Source organism: Homo sapiens, chromosome 21, assembly GCF_000001405.40.
Source record: "Homo sapiens chromosome 21, GRCh38.p14 Primary Assembly".
In the NCBI taxonomy this organism is placed as follows: Eukaryota; Metazoa; Chordata; class Mammalia; order Primates; family Hominidae; genus Homo; species Homo sapiens.
Genome location: NC_000021.9, coordinates 32,557,099 through 32,573,654, shown reverse-complemented (window position 1 = coordinate 32,573,654; position 16,556 = coordinate 32,557,099). Strand labels below are relative to the sequence as shown.

At 41.8% G+C, this 16,556-nt stretch overlaps 1 protein-coding gene and 1 pseudogene across 2 annotated transcripts in view, besides 5 other annotated features; one reads left to right on the top strand and one right to left on the bottom strand.

Moving 5' to 3' along the window:
• CFAP298-TCP10L (CFAP298-TCP10L readthrough) overlaps nucleotides 1-10,163 on the top strand; it is a 48,886-nt gene extending 38,723 nt beyond the window's left edge. For both annotated transcript variants that reach the window (NR_146638.2, NR_146639.2), the window contains 3 exons: nucleotides 287-371; nucleotides 5,576-5,714; nucleotides 6,557-10,163. The gene's annotated coding sequence lies outside the window, so the exon portion shown is untranslated. The remainder of the gene's footprint in view (nucleotides 1-286; nucleotides 372-5,575; nucleotides 5,715-6,556) is intronic.
• Nucleotides 3,603-4,144: an enhancer, noted in NCBI's record as "H3K4me1 hESC enhancer chr21:33941821-33942362 (GRCh37/hg19 assembly coordinates)". NCBI's record gives its function as "activates a minimal SCP1, AML or CMV promoter by ChIP-STARR-seq in naive H9 embryonic stem cells {active_cell/tissue: H9 hESC(naive)}" and the evidence as "EXISTENCE:reporter gene assay evidence [ECO:0000049][PMID:30033119]".
• Nucleotides 3,729-3,798: an enhancer, noted in NCBI's record as "active region_18363". NCBI's record gives its function as "activates an Ori minimal core promoter by ATAC-STARR-seq in GM12878 lymphoblastoid cells {active_cell/tissue: GM12878}" and the evidence as "EXISTENCE:reporter gene assay evidence [ECO:0000049][PMID:35858748]".
• Nucleotides 4,145-4,688: an enhancer, noted in NCBI's record as "H3K4me1 hESC enhancer chr21:33941277-33941820 (GRCh37/hg19 assembly coordinates)". NCBI's record gives its function as "activates a minimal SCP1, AML or CMV promoter by ChIP-STARR-seq in naive H9 embryonic stem cells {active_cell/tissue: H9 hESC(naive)}" and the evidence as "EXISTENCE:reporter gene assay evidence [ECO:0000049][PMID:30033119]".
• Nucleotides 10,445-10,580, bottom strand: RNA5SP490 (RNA, 5S ribosomal pseudogene 490; annotated as a pseudogene).
• Nucleotides 10,743-11,534: an enhancer, noted in NCBI's record as "H3K27ac hESC enhancer chr21:33934431-33935222 (GRCh37/hg19 assembly coordinates)". NCBI's record gives its function as "activates a minimal SCP1, AML or CMV promoter by ChIP-STARR-seq in primed H9 embryonic stem cells {active_cell/tissue: H9 hESC(primed)}" and the evidence as "EXISTENCE:reporter gene assay evidence [ECO:0000049][PMID:30033119]".
• Nucleotides 11,535-12,326: an enhancer, noted in NCBI's record as "OCT4-NANOG-H3K27ac hESC enhancer chr21:33933639-33934430 (GRCh37/hg19 assembly coordinates)". NCBI's record gives its function as "activates a minimal SCP1, AML or CMV promoter by ChIP-STARR-seq in naive and primed H9 embryonic stem cells {active_cell/tissue: H9 hESC(naive and primed)}" and the evidence as "EXISTENCE:reporter gene assay evidence [ECO:0000049][PMID:30033119]".

Sequence of the window (16,556 nt, the reverse complement as noted above, 5' to 3'; positions counted from 1 at the left end):
CAGCGCAAGGTGCATTTCTCCCAGGTGAAGGACTGGGAATTCCACCTCAGTCCAGTCCTCTCTCCCACTAGCCTAGAGCCACAGTGTCTTGACTTCTGGGCTTGGGTGACAAGCCCTCTCCCCACGCCTCCTTGCTGTGGAGGATGCCCATGGACAAGGTCAGCCCACTCCCACCTGCTGGGACGGTGCTTTTACCCCCCTGTAGGAAGGACTTTACTAGATTAAATCCAGGTTCAAAATGATAACACAAACTGCCTCCCAACATAGGTGTTTCTGGTGCTTACAGGTTTACTATTATGCAAATGCTCAGACGACACACACGACCTACCCTGATGGTTTGGAAGTTGTGCAGTTTCTTAACAAGCAGACAGGTGAGTGACGTCACCAGGAACCCGTGTGGGTAGGTGCCTTTGCATGCGAATGTGCAGAGGTGTGGGGACTTGCAGGTTAGCAGATACTTGAGCCCTGGAGGCAAGTTCCCCACAGCAGCAGCTGTCCAGATAATTTGGGGCTTACCCTGCTTAATGCATGTTTTCCTGGTTCTTATCCAAGAACTGTGAGCCTGTGGCTTCCGTGCCGGTGTGTAAGCGCACCCAGGTCTGGATGCCTCCGTAAACGCCGTCAGACCTCAGTCTGGGGCTTGTGTTTCAGCTTTTCTGGGTGGGCCTGGCTACATGGCTCGAGCAGCAACGGAGATAAATGGGTGTTACTTACTCGCACAGTGCAGTCAGCTCATTGTCTTAAAAGCCACCACATTCTTTCCCGGTCTCACCTGGACTCTAAAACGCCATCCTCTAGGTAACCCCTGGGTCTCTTGGGAACTGGGCTGCACAGCAGGAAGTGAGCGGCGGGCAAGACAGGGGAGCTTTGTCTGTATTTACAGCCACACCCCATCGCTCCGTTAGGCCTGAGCTCCGCCTCCTTCAGACCAGTGGCAGCATTTGATTCTCATAGGAGTGCGAACCCTACTGTGAACTGCGCATGCGAGGGATCTAGGCTGTGCGCTCCTCATGAGAATCTAATGCCTGATGATCTCTCACTGTCTCTCTTCACCCCTAGATCAGACCCTCTAGTTGCAGGAAAAAAAGCTCAGGGCGGTCGAGTGCAGTGGCTCACGCCTGTAATCCCAGCACTTTGGGAGGCCAAGGTGGGCAGATCACAAGGTGAGGAGTTCGAGACCAACCTGGTAAACATAGGGAAACCCTATCTCTTCTAAAAAAAAAAAAATACAAAAAATTAGTTGGGCGTGGTGGATGGCACCTGTAATCTTAGCTACTCAGGAGGCTGAGGCAGGAGAATCGTTTGAACCTGGGAGGTGGAGGTTGCAGTGAGCCAAGATCATGCCATTGCACTCCAGCCCGGGTTACAGTGTGAGGCTTTCTAAAAACAAAAACAAAACAACAACAACAACAAAACAAAACAAAACAAAAAAAACCCTCAGGGCTCCTATTTGTTCTACATTGCGGTGAATTGTATAATTTATAATTATTTCATTACAATATAATAATGAAGTGCACAGTAAATTTAGTGAACGTAATCAGCCAACCCCCCCACAACCCACACCCATGCCAGTCCGTGGAAAAATTGTCTTCCATGAAACTGGTCCCTAGTGCCAAAAAGGTTGGGGACCACTGCATTAGGTAATGAGAGAACTGTGTTAAAAATATCCCAGTTTGGGCCGGGCGCAGTGGCTCATTCCTATAATCCCAGCACTTTGGGAGGCCAAGGTGGGCAGATCACCTGACGTCAGGAGTTCGAGATCAGCCTGGCCAACATGGTGAAACTCTATCTCTACTAAAAATACAAAAGTTAGCCGGATGCGGTGGAGTGCGCCTATGATCCCAGCTACTCAGGAGGCTGAGGTTGGACAATCACTTGAACCCAGGAGGCGGAGGTTGCAGTGATCTGAGATGGCGCCACTGCACTCCAGCCTGGGTGACAGAGCAAGACTCCATCTCAAAAAAAAATAAATAAATAAATCCTAGTTCGGTTATGAATTTACTAATATTTATTTGTAATTTTTCTCTTTCTTATAAATTGGTTTCTTTTTAAAAATCCTTAACCAGTGACACCTATTTTTATACCTTTAATGCTTTCTGCTTTAAGTCTATTAAATCTAATAGGTATAGCAGCTTTCTTTTAGTTAGTTAATATGTGCCTGTTTCTATTCTTTCTCTTTTGCTATTTCTAAATCTTTATCTTTAAATATGATCTTATAAGAAACAGACATTAAGAAAATTATATAATCTGAAAATAACTTTCCTTTTAACCTGAGGTTTTATTTCATAAACTGAAAATGTATCAGTATCCTTACCGTCCTCTACAACCAACTCAAGAGTCTTCTAGTTCTGATTCTCCTCCCCAATCTCTCATGTCATTGTGTTGGCTTCTGCCAGGATTTTTACTCTAAGTTGTCTTTACCCTCAGTATTAGTTATGATTATCACTGTGGTGTTTACATAGCCAGTGTTTACTTTAAACTTTTTAAATTTATGCAGAATTTGGGGCGCTTCTTTCCCGTTTCTTGGGCACAGTTTCCTTCTAGTTGACGAGCATGAAGAGATGGGGGCAATCAACTCTTTCAATTTTGGCTCATCTGAAAATGTCCTTTGTTTTGCCTTGTTCATGAGTGATCATTCATCCTGATGCCCCTTCTGACCCGTCATCCCGTAGCTATTCAATGGTCACCATGTGGCAGGCATTGTTTTAGGGCTAGGGAATCAGCAATGAGCACATTTGTAAAAAGTTCTTATTTCATGACATTTTATTGGAGGGAAGCACTTTTATGTTGTGGACATGGTTTATTTCCTTAGACCTCATGAACCAATCTCTGCTACTTTCAAACTTTTCTTCTGTAGCTTTCTCACTCCTCTCAGCCTTTGTGGAACTGAGGAGAGTTCCTTGCTCTGGAGTAGGCTTTGGCCTGAGGGAACGCTGTGGTTGGTTTGATCTATCTAGACCACTGTAATAAGGCTGTTTCGCTTTCTTGTCATTCATGTGTTCACTAGAGCAGCACTTTTAATTTCCTTTAAGAGGTTTTTCTTTGCATTCACAACTGGGCTAACTCCTGGGTGCAAAAGGCCTTGCTTTCAGCCTATCTCAACTTGGAACAGGCTTTCCCTACTAAGCTTAATCATCTCTAGCTTTCGATTTAAAGTGAGAGATGTGTGTCTCTTCCTTTTACTTGAACACTTAGAGGCCGTTGTAGGTTATTAATGGTGTAATCCCACAATTGCGTTTCAGGGAACAGGGAGGCCTGAGGGGAGGGAGAGAGATGGGGGGCAGCTGGTCATTGGAGCACTCGGAACACACGTGACATTTATTACGTTTTCTGTCTTACGTGGGTGCGGTCGTTGGTTCCCCAAAACAATTACAAAGTAAAATCAAAGATCACTGATTACAGATCACCATGACGGATATAATGATAATGAAAAAATTCGAAATATTACAAGAATTAAAAATATGACACAGAGATATGAAGTGAACACGAGCCGTTGGAAAAATGGCACCCATAGAGGTGCCCCAACAGAGTTGCCACAAACTTTCAATTTGTAAAAAAAGTGCAGTATCTGCGAGGCACAATAGAGCAAGGCGCAATAAAACGAGGTCCACCTGTGCGCGCAACCCCCTCACAGGGAGGCTGTAAACACAACGCAGGAACATCATGAAAAGGCCCGTTCTGAGCACTGGGCTACAGAGGGCGCTGTTCGGTAAACAGGTCATTTCGCTGCACAAAGCCGCTCACAGTACATCTCTGAAGTTAACGCGCTCAGATTTTAACTTTTCAACCTGTGCCGTGCCACAAACTGGGTCACTGAAAACCGCGGAAGTTTATTCCCCCCCGACCAGGGGGGGCTGCGCCCTCAGGGAGCTGAGCGGTCCCCGTGAGGCCCCTTCGCTGCCTGCACAGTTCAGCTGTGCCGTCCCTAGCGCGGCAGTCCCTGGACCTGGTGTGCAGAGGAATCGTGGTAAGAAATGTGCACACATCATCCAGGCAGACGGTCCCGTGAGTCTGTCCAACAGAAAAGAGGAAGGCGAGGCGGAGTCCTGAAGGCGAGGCTTGCAGAGGCGGGAGAACCAGGCAGAAGGCCACGGGCCTGCCGAGCTCCCAGCAGCGACGGGGGCGGCGCCCTCAACACGCCGGCGCCCTAGGAAGGCCGAGTCTGTGTTCGCGCTGCCTGCGGTGTGTGGCAGCTGCGCGCTCCTTACCTGTGGGGCAGAGTTGGCCGGAGCCACTGCCTGAAGAAACTCGGCTCTGTCCTCCGTTCCGGGGAGCGGAATGCGGCCAGTGGATGTGAGTTCCTTCCGTTGCTTTCCGCAGCCCACAGCTAAGTCACTCTGATGAGCATCTCGCAGGCCTGCGCTTCTGCTTCTCGTTGCCTTCTAGGCGGTTCTGACTTTGACACCCCTTTCCTCCTCTGCTTGTGCCCTCGAATCCTACGTTAGGGAAATGGGGACCCTGTTTTGAAACAAAATGAGAAAGAATCATAACCTTCAACTTCAGAACACTTCAAAGTCAGTAGAACCTGTAAGGAAATACAACAACATTCTATCTTCTATAGATTGACAGCATTAAAAGATGCTGTAAAATAATGTATAAAAAGAAAAGAAAAAATAATGGCAATAAGAAAAACGTTCTCAATTTTACTATTAAAAATTTAGTAATAGAAAACTTTATTCACAGAAATTCATATAGAAACCCAACGTGAATAATAGATAAAGTTCAGTTGTGTTTGTCAACTTGCAAAACCCACCACCTCGCAGGTGGACCCTGAGGAGATGGTGGGTGATAAAATCTAATCTTCATCAAGGATGTTGGATAACCAGTAAAAAGCAGCTGTATGTTAATAAAGCTGTATTGCCTGTCCTTCTTTACAACTGCACTTTAATTAGATATTTACATTTTGCCTTTATGAATATATAGGCAAATGTTTTTCCTATATTTTCCTTGATGAAACATGTTTAGATATTCATTTGACTTCTTTCTTTCTCATTATTCCCTTTATTTCATTTAAGATGTGTACTCGTATTGAGCTCAGATCTCTGAACTCTTCCTCTTAATAAACAAACCTTCTACTTCTTTTAGTTCATTAAATCTATTTTAATCTTTCCTTGACAGTGATTTTATAAACAATGGTTGTTTATCGGAGAAAATAATATCTGGACTAGAAGAAATGTCAATGAGATTAGTTTTACAAACTATCAAGTCAGTTATCTAACTTGCTAAGTGCTGTCCAAGTTAGATAACTAGATAACTAGTAATTTAATAACGCTACAGAAACATCGTGTTGTCCACCTTTATAAAAAATTATTCCAAATAACTATGTCATTTGTTTTAATTTGAAGAATACATAGTACAGACAGTTAAGCTAATGATTACACTCATGGAAGCTGACAATTCAGAATGGGCAGTGTGATAATGTAAGATTAATTTTTCAAATATTTTAAAGTTTCTATTAAATATTTAAAAATTATACACCAACTGGGTCTTAAGATGGCCAACTCAATGCTGCTGGGAAGTGTGGCTCCCATGGAGAGAGGCCGAGATTTTGACTAAATCAACATAATTTCAACAGATCTTTGTAAAGAAGATGCTGAATGTGGATGTAGAAAAGATGCAGACCCTGAGGCTGAAGAGGGAGGAAGCTGGAAACTCCGTGCGGGTAACTGAATGCTAAGGCTGCTTCCTGGCCTCCAGCGGTGTCTGAGGAAAGGGTAAGTGAAGGGACTTGGAGACTGGAGACCTCACACGCGCCACGGACATTTGAGCTGGTAGGTGGATGTCTTCAGAGATTAGACAGAGACAGAGCTGCCACAGGCATGGCGCCAGGAACCTTTGTGCTAGGGACAGCTTTGGCGGAGCCTAACCCCACCAAGGGCTGCCTATCTCCCTTTGACAGTCTCTGGCCCTAGCTAACCACTGGGGAGAAAGCAGGGCCACCTTCCCTGTGGGACTGGGGCACATCTGTCTCACAGGCCACCTGCCTGCCAGCCCCTCCCAAGTCTTCTGCCTGGCCACCCTGCAGAAGCCTGTATACAGCATAGCTCCACTGCCCAGCCTGGGTGCTTTGTGCCACCTAAGTGCATTCTGGAAGCCTGGGAGCCCTTCAGATCCTATAGTGCACCTGGGACCCAGTCCCAAGGGTCTGGAGAAGGGAGCTGCAAGCAGGTCCTGGCACCCCAGGGTCCTGGCCCATGGCTCAGGATTACCTAGCCAGGATCTGTGCTCTGCACTCAAGTTGGGGAGGACCCCACACTCCCAGAAAACTGAGAAGGGTGAATTGCACTGGTTCACAAGTTGGCCTAGAACCTAGATGTGCCTCCCCTCCACAGGGCAGGTCCAGTAAAGATGTGGCCTATTTCCCTACTGGACCTCTGTCCAAGGGAGCCCCGAGGCTGAAACATCAAATTTAAATAAATAAATAAATAAATAAATAAATAAATAAATAAATAAATAATTGGAATTGCTGGCAAAGTGCCAGCGATCAGAGATGGCTCCCCCAGTCCCCAGGAGTGGACCTGGTGAGGGGGTCACCTCTCTCCCCCTTGTACCACAGAGCATAGCTGCAAATCCAAGGATACACAAAGGAGCCATGCTGCCAAGTAAGAGCCCGTCTTCCATCCATTGCTCTCAAGCACTATCTACCAGATCGCAGCCCAAACTACAACAACAACAAAAAAGTCACTCTGCCACTTCTCCCTGCTGATAAACCAAGGGCAAGAATTCAACCACAAAGACCCTTACAGAGCCTTAGCCCTCTGAAAACTTCCGGATACAAAGCCAACTGACTATGCTAGATTACCATCACAGTTAAAGGAACCCAGCCTTCTCAGATGGGAAAAAAATCAGAATAAGAACTCTGGCAATTCAGAAAGCCAGTGTCCCCTCACCTCCAAACAGGCCCACTAGGTTCCCAGCAATGGTTAATCAGTCTGAAATGTCTGAAATGGCAGACATAGAATTCAGAATCTGGATGGCTAGGAAGCTTATCAAGACCAAGAGAAAGTTGAAACTCAATCCAAGGATGCAAAGCAATTCAGTAAAATGATTCAAGAGTTGAAAGACTAAGAAGCCGTTTTAAGAAAGACCCAAAATTGAACTTCTTGAACTGAAAAATTCGCTACGAGAATTTCAAACTACAAGCAGAACTATTAACAGCAGAATAGACCAAGCAGAGAAAAGAACCTCAGGGCTTGAAGACAGTTAATTAAGTCAACTCAGTCAGGCAAAAATAAAGAGAAAAAATAAAGAAAAATGAACAAAACCTCTGAGAAATATGCAATTATGCAAAGAAACCAAATCTATGACTCATTGGCATTCTTGAGAAAGAAAAATAATAAGCAACTTGGAAAGTATATTTGAGGACATAGTCCATGAAAATTTCCCTAAACTCATTAGAGAGGTTGACCTGCAAATCCAAGAAATATAGAGGACCCTAGCCAGATACTATACAAGACATCCATCCCCAAGGCACGTGGTCATCAGATTCACTGAAGTGAACACAAAAGAAAACATCTTAAAGGCAGCAAGAAAGATGGGGAATGTAACTTACAAAGGGAACCCATCAGGCTAATAGCAGACCTTTCGGCAGAAACCTTATAAGCCAGAAGAGATTGGGGGCCTATTTTTAGCATCTTGAAGAAAAAAAATTCTAACCAAGAATTTCATATGCTGCCAAACCAAGCTTCTTAAATGAAGATGAAATAAAATCCTTCTCAGAAAAGCAAATTCTGAGGGAGTATATTTAAACTAGACCAGACTTACAAGACATCCCCAGAAGTGGACCTGGTGAGGGAGTCCTCAGATCCTCAGGTCCCCGGTGAGGGGGACCTGGTGAGGGAGTGCTAAACATAGAATTGAAAGAGCCTGCTACCACAAAAGACACTTCAGACCATAGCCCACAAGAACTATAAAGCAACTGCGTAATTAAGTCTACATAACAGCCAGTTAACAACACAATGACAAAATTAAAATCATTCCCATCAATAGTAACCTTGAATATAAATGGGCTTAATGCCCACTTAAAAGTCACAGAGTGGAAAGCCTGATAAAAAGACAAGCCCCAAATGTCAGTTTGCTTCAAGAAATCCATGTCACATATAATAACACCCACAGGCTCAAAGTAAAAGAATGGAGAAAATTCTACCATGCAAACTGAGAGGAAAAAAGAGCAGGAGTCACTATACTTATATCAGATAAAACAGACTTTAAATAAAAAATCAAGAAGGACAATAAAAGGCATTACATAATGATAAAGGGTACAATCCAACAAGAAGCCCTAACTGTTCTAAATATATATGCACCCAACATTGGAGCACCCAGATTCATAAAATAAGTTCTTCTTGGCCAACGAAAAACCTTAGACAAACACAAAATACTAGTGGGAGGCTTGAACATCCTACTGACAGCGTTAGATCATCAGGGCAGAAAGTTAACAATGAAACTCTGGATTTAAACTTGACACTTGACCAACTGGATCTCAGACAGCTACAGGACACTACACCCAACAACCAAAAAATATACATTTTTCTTGTCTGCACACAGAATGTATTCTAAGATCAACCACATGCTTGATCATAAAAAGTCTCAATAAATTCAAAATGATTGAAGTCATACCAAAGCACATTCTTGAATCACAGTACAATAATAGTAGAAATCAATATCAAGATTGCCTCAAACTATACAAATACATGAAATTAACTAACTTACTCTAGCATAACTCCTGGGTCAACATCAAAATTGAGGCAGAAATCAAAAAAATCGTTTGAAATTAATGAAAATAGGGACACAACTTACCAAAATCTCTGGATGCAGCCAAGGCAGTGTTAAGAGGAAAGTTTATAGCCCTAAATGTCTTCATCAAGAAGTTAAAAAAATCTCAAATTAACAATCTATCTTTGGAAAGGAAGAAACTAGGTCAACTAAGGGAAAGGAACTAGGGAGGAGAAAATCCAAAACTAGCAGAAGAAAAACCACTGAAATTAGAGAAGAACTTAATGAAATTGACATGTAAAAATCCATACAAAAGATCAATAAAACCAAGACTTGGTTTTTCAAAAAAATAAAATCGATAGGCCACTAGCCAGTTTAACAAAGAAAAAGAAAGAGAAGATCCAAGAAAGCACAATCAGAAATGAAAAAGGTGGTTTTTTTTTTTATCAGTATCATAACTGGTCCCACAGAAATACAAAAGACCTTCAGAAACTATTATGAATAACTCTAAGCACACAAATTAGAAAATCTAGAGGAAATGGATACTTTCCTGTAAGCACACGATTTTCCAAGATTGAATCAGGAAAAGACTGTTAACGTGAATAGACCAATATCAACTTCTGAAATGGAATCAGTAATGAAAAACCTACCAACCAAAAAAGCCCTGGACCAGTTGGTTTCCCAGCTGAATTCTACCAGACCGAAAGCAATCCAACACAAAACTACATGACTCAGAAAATATTGTATAAATTGTAGTTTATCGTAGAATTGTTTAAGGGCTCAAATCCCTAGAGATTCTAATTCTGTTTCCTCTAATTACCCCTCCTTCCTCACCTGCATTTACAGAGAACACACATTGGGCAAAATATGTGTCTGTCCTACTGGGAAAGTTTATCAACTCTACATCATAGAACTGAGAACAAATGCGGGGAGAGCTAATGTTTTACCAAGATGAACTTAACCAAACAAAGAGATAGAAATAAAATTCAAAGCCAAGAGCCTTACGTATAGATAAAAATGGAGGAATGAGAACATAGCATTTATCCAGGAATCATGAGTTAATCATGTTACCAGGCTTTAGGGCAAGGGGCTGGGTGAACAGTCACTATAATATTACATGCATAGTTCTTTGAAAATGTCAAGGAAAAGGCCGGGCGCAGTGGCTCACACCTGTAATCCCAGCACTTTGGGAGGCCAAGGCAGGCAGATCACGAGGTCAGGAGATCGAGACCATCCTGGCTAACATAGTGAAACCCTGTCTCTACTAAAAATACAAAAAATAAAAAATTAGCCAGGCGTGGTGGCGGGCACCTGTAGTCCCAGCTACTCAGGAGACTGAGGCAGGATAATGGCATGAACCCAGGAGGCAGAGGTTGCAGTGAGGCGAGATCACGCCACTGCACTCCAGCCTGGGTGACAGAGCGAGACTCTGTCTCAAAAAAAAAAAAAAAAAAGAAAATGTCAAGGAAAACTATTTCCCATGGATTTTTAACTGCTTGAATTCAGGGCAAAGAAAACAAGAAAACTTGAGTGTAATATTAACAAAGACCCTTAAAAAAGATGTTATATAAAAAGAAAAATCACAGTCCAGTGAAAAATACATGAAAAATTCTAAATAACATTTTAGCAAACAAAATCTAGTGATTATTAAAAGTGTAACACAAAAAAGGGAGATTTTTCCCAAGAATGTAATAGTAGTCAAACATTTTATCAAGACATTTAAAAATAAGCATAAAAATAGATGTCTGAGTGCTATTTATAAAATTCAAGATCTATTCCTCCCATCCAAATACTAACCAGGCCTGACCCTGCTTAGCTTCATGAGATCAGACAAGATCAGGCGTGTTCAGAGTGGTGCAGCCATATTCAAGAAGAACTAAAAAGTGTAATAAAATAAGAACACAAGACTATCACTGAAAAGAAGTTCACAATTTCATGCACACACATGAAAAAGTTATAGGCCAAAAGCAATATAGACATGAGAGTCTAGGGGAGGTTAACAGCATCCAGTCTGGAGTCCGAGTACTTGAGAGTTATTCTAAGTTTCTCATTTCTCTGTGATCTTGAGCAAGTTATGAAATTCTCTTTGCCTCAATTCTTTATATTGTTAAATCAAGTTTAGACTAAAGCTGCCTTTTAACGTATTTTAAGTTCAGCCTAAAGGCTTCTCTGTACATAGTGAACTTTAACCTAAATGAAGATGTAAACAGACTGAAGCCTACTTTTGTGCCAATCACCAAGTTTTGGCCAATCAAGGGCTAACTGTTCAAACTATGTTCAAATAAGGCAAATGCCTGCCGAGCTGCAACCAATTTGGTTGTTTCTGTACCTCACATCTGTTTTCTGCACGTCACTTTCCTTTTTCTGCCTGTAAGTCTTCTACCACGTGGCTGCGCTAGAGTCTCTGAGCCTACTCTGGCTCAGGAGGCTGTCTGATTCACAAATTGTTCTTTGCTAAATTAAACTCTTAAATTTAATTCAGCCAAAGTTTTTTCATTTAATAGGTGGCATCAGAAGTGAGATCCAAAGTAGATCCTCTGATGACCCCCATGAGTGCTGAGTGACTAAGCAAGGTACCCACTGGACCCACTGAGGACTAAGCTCTGATATTTTTTATCTTGCTCAAATTCCTATCTAAGGGGTCGGATTGGATCTGATAATTAGCTGGCTTGGATCCAGTTATAGGCCTCTTATGTCTGACTGGGACAGAAAGAAACCAGTAGTAAATGGCAATATTGCAGGGGGTGTAAAATTTGGCTTTTGGAAATTCATGGGGATTTTTCTATTCTCCTCTTTGTTTCATTTTTATTGCAGGCTTAGATAGGGAAAAAAATGATTAGCCAAGTTGATTAAGGGAACCTGATCTCCAAAGCCAATATTTCAGGTAAAGATGGAACCTTTAGTTTTGGAAGAACTGAGTACCTTCTGGCTTATACATGCTGTGAACCCCAAATATTTGAGACAGGCCTCCATTAATATAGAAAGTTTATTTTGCCAAGGTTGAGGATGCGCACCTGTGACAGCCTCAGGAGGTCCTGATGACAAGTGCCCAAGGTGGTCAGAGCACAGTTTGGTTTTATACATTTTAGGGAGACATGAGACATCAATCAACATTTGTAAGATGAATATTGGTTAGGTCTGGAAAGCCAGGAGGGGGCTTCCAGGTCATAGGTAGATAAGAAACAAATGGTTGCATTCTTTTGAGTTTCTGATGAACCTCTCCAAAGGAGGCAATCAGATATGCATTCATCTCAGTGAGCTTAGGAGTGACTTTGAATTAGAATGGGAGGCAGGTTTGCCCTAAGCAGTTCCCAGCTTGACTCTTCCCTTTAGCTTAGTGATTTTGGGGCCCCAAGATTTATTTTCCTTTCACGATGCATAAGTATGAGGCCTCAGAAGCAGCAAAGTCTTACAGAAATGGTGAAATCTTACTAAAGATAATTTACCATGGAAGGTTCCAAATAAACAACACTGCACTGAAGAAATGCATTTGAAAATGAGGCCTCCTGAATTAGTCTCATCTAGGGATGCCTATTGATATGCAGAAGCTTCTAAAAAGATTTCAATCTTTTTATTTAAAGATTTTATGAAAGGCAAATAAAAAGCTTAAGAAACTAATTGATAAGAAAAATTAAATCTGCTAATCTTTGCTTAGTTACTATTCCACCCTAAAGGTGGAAAGAAAGCTATCCTAGATAAGGTATTTATAAAAGTTAGGCCGTCAGGTAAAATAGGCTTGCTTCTTGTTCCGACCTATCCATGCGGGAGGCCAGCCATAGAGGATGCTTTTTTGACTCTGTTCCCTAATGGGTTCCACCCTGAACTCAGTAATTTTAACTAAGAAACAGTGGTTACATTAAAAAGGACACCCTATTGAAATAAAATGCACCTTTCTGGAATTTAATTGGCTACCTTGAAACTCTTTTGTAAAGGAAATTTACATCTATAAAGGAAATCTCAATTTGTAGGGATGTCTGCCAATGTACAATAGAAACTCTAACCTTTTTTTAAATTTAAATAATCAGTAATGCCTTTGTTTAAGGTGCTTTTCTGTCTATCTTAAGTGAACTTTTACTTGAGCAGTTTTTTTTTTTCCCTGGGTTTGAGCAAATGATGAATCAATACTTAGGCCGAGAATCTTAGCTCTGTGCTTATGAAATATACATGGTTTTTTTGTTTCACCTAAGGGATTGTGTCAATTTCCCTCTCATAGCAACTGGGAATTGTGGCAAGTTCTCTCTTTAGAAATGCAAATTTGTTGCCTAGTTAACAATTGCTTAGGGAAATGAAACAGGTAATAGAAAGATTGATACACCAAATGGAGAAAAGAAAAAGTATTTAAAAACTGGCAAAAGCTATAGGATCCGCTTCTGTTCGTTTGTATGTCTATATATGTTATGTGTATGTGGTATCTGGTAAATAAAGCTAGTTTTTAATTCGTTCATAAAATAAAAATGGCTTCAAAACTATCAGTTAAATATAATTAGATACTCGCTTGATTTGATTGTGAGCTTATGTCTTTGGTTTAGAGTCTCTGGATTCAGGGGTCTGGATAGGTGGCCAAGATGACATCTGGAGACGCATTCTTGGTGCCTAGACCACCAGCTACAAGCCCAATATGGCCCCTTCTTCCTCTGCTTTCCCTGTTTTGACTCCTGGCTATTGTGGGAGGGGTTGGATTCTCCAAGTATAGCCTTCACAGCTCTGGCTTCTGTTCTGATGGACTCAGAGAGGCCCTGATCTTCATAGTCCTCATGGGTGGCACATGGCTTCTTGGGACCTAGAATGGCTGGGAGGAGACATTAGGGAGGCTGCCTATGTCATAGCCTCAAAATTTTTTTTTTTTTTTTGAGATGGAGTCTCGCTCTGTTGCCCAGGCTGGAGTGCAGTGGTGCGATCTCGGCTCACTGCAAGCTCTGCCTCCTGGGTTCATGCCATTCTCCTGCCTCAGCCTCCTGAGTAGCTGGGACTACAGGCGCCCACCACCACGCCCGGCTAATTTCTTTCTGTATTTTTAGTAGAGACGAGGTTTCACCATGTTAGCCAGGATGGTCTCGATCTCTTGACCTCGTGATCCCCCCGCCTCAGCCTCCCAAAGTGCTGGGATTACAGGTGTGAGCCACTGCGCCCGACTCAAAATTATTTTCTGTAATTTAAAATCCAAGAGTCATGTTATGTTAAATTAAGTAATACAAAAAATCAGAAAATGAGTCATGTTCAAGCTAAAATACTGGAATATTCATTATTAAACATGATTTAAGTCCATATACCTTGACATATTATTTCTATATAGTATAGAAAAGTAAATATATTTAGATCTGATAATAAAAAATAATTTGAAGAACTATATTTCTAAAAAATTATAAAATGGTTTTTATCTACAAATAACTGATACGAAACAATTCAAAATTACTTTCTAGAGTTTTCACTAGAAATGAAGGTTACTAAGAGTTAAAAACTACTGTCAGAGGTGTTTGAACCTGAGCAACTCCATCTTGAATAAGGGCTTGGTAAAATGAGGCTAAGACCTACTGGGCTGCATTCCCAGCAAGTTAAGGCATTCTCAGTCACAGGATGAAAGAGGAGGTTGGCAGAAGATACAGGTCTTAAAGACCTTGCTGATAAAACAGGTTGCAGTAAAGAAGCTGGCTGAGAGCCATGAAAACCAAGATGGTGATGAGAGTGACTTCTGGTCGTCCTCACTGCTATACTCCCACAAGCGCCATGACAGTTTACAAATGCCATGGCAACGTCAGGAAGTTACCCTATATGGTCTAAAAAGGGGAGGCAAGAATAATCTACCTCTTGTTAGCATATCATCATTAACAACCATAAAAATGGGCAACCAACAGCCTCGGGACTACTCTGTCTGTGGCGTAGCCATTCTTTATTCCTTTACTCTCCTAATAAACTTGCTTTCCCTGTACTCCAAAGACTCGCCCTGAATTCTTTCTAGCATGAGATCCAAGAACCCTCTTTTGGGGTCTGGATTGGGACTCCTTTCCTGTAGCATCTTTCTGGTGACCACTGAAGGGACTGCAGTGCAGAAAACCCCCACCCAAAGGCTAACTTTTGGTAAGTGGTGGGGGCCAGTAACATTTTTCTAGTGAACCCTGAGGGGACGATACTGAAGAAACCCCCCGACCCAAAGGAAATAGAGTGCAGCACTGATAGGCCAACTTTGGGTAAGTGGTGGGGTACCCAGGTAAAGGATGGAATTGGGTTAGAGGCCCAACTTAGGGGAGTCAGAGTCTCTCCTAAGACAGAGTGGGTCAGAGGCCGCTCTTGATAAAAGGCAAGGACACCTGACCTACCTTGGGTTAAAGGCCCAACTTAGGAGGGTTAGGGTCCCTTTTAAGATTTAAGGGGTTAGAAGCCCCTTTCAGTAAAGTCCTTTTTGGCTAAGAATGGGTTTGGTATTATGAGACGTTAACTGCTATTCTCTTTGGATTAATCTGCCTTGAACTCTTTGCTGAGGGCTGTGGGTGACAGGATTAGGCACATATAGGATTGTGGGACATGGGGAGCTTTTTCCTCCCTAAAAGGGGAAACTCGAGAGCTGATGATACCACTGGAAAATATCCCTTTTCTACTGACAAGCAGCTGCCTGAACTTTTCAGTGTCACTGCAATGGGTGGGTCTTTCTGTGGTCTCCCTGAGCACCTGGCCTTCCCCACCCTGCCTCAAGCAATGCTTCCTCTCCCTCTCTCTGTCTGTTTCTGTCTCTCTCTCTCTGTGTGTGCAAACTGGTTGAATGAACGGTAAAAATCATTGTTTATCTCCTCCGTAAAAGTTTAGATTAATGGAAAAAAAGGATTTGTGAGGCTAGTCCTAAGCTATAGTGAATCTGGTGTGCTTTGTGTGTCTTTCTGTATTGCTCTGCCATAAAGAGGGGTATCATAGGATGGAACATGGTCTTAGGACACCTGTAAGCCGACTGTTCAAGGTGGCCCAGCAAACTGGTCAGTTATAAATTTTGCTGCAGGTCCCTAAAAACAAAACTGGATGAGATTTCCCTCTTGTCTTGTATGTCTTGGGGAGCCTGACCTTGTAACCATGTAGTGATGCTTTCTCTTTTCACAGTGGCGGCCCAGGTTCAGGGTTCAATTCCTGCCTTAGGGAATGAGTCCTTTATCTAATTTTGTCTGGGTCCTGGGCTCCACACCTGGTACATAATTAAAATCACTTACTAACCAGGTTTTTCACCAAAAATAAAAGTTGCTAAGAGTTAACATTGTATGCACTCCAGCCTGGCGACAGAGCGAGACTGCATCTCAAAAAAAAAAAAAAAAAAAAAAAAAAGAGTTAACATTGTAACATGTAATTGAGACTGCTGAAGAAACAGTTTTACCTTCAAAGTGTGGGAGGGAAGTAGAATGTACTTTTGGTAAAAGATTATAAGAAGGCATGGGAATGTGGATTTCTTGCCTAAGTTTAGAGAGTTAAAGGACTGTTTTAAATTAGGATAAAGCTGAAGGTTTAGGCAAGTTGTTAAAGGTCTGTGAAATCTTAATCTCATAGAAGAAATTATCTGTGTGAACATATTGGCTAAAATTAAAGGGATATTATTCAGTTTTTCGATAAATTGAACATTGGAATAAAAGTACAACAGGTTTTTCTTATAATTATTAATAACATACACTAAGTCATGTCAGAATTATAGGAGTTTCCCATTATTTCAGATCACATACCAATAACATATTTATGCAACTATAGCCCAAAGAAAGCCAAATACCATTTCATATTTGGCAGTGCTCCCTGTATGATTTTTATACCCAATAAGCCAAATTTCACCTTTACATTAATGTACTATTTATGTTAAACCCAAACCTTAATCAAACCTT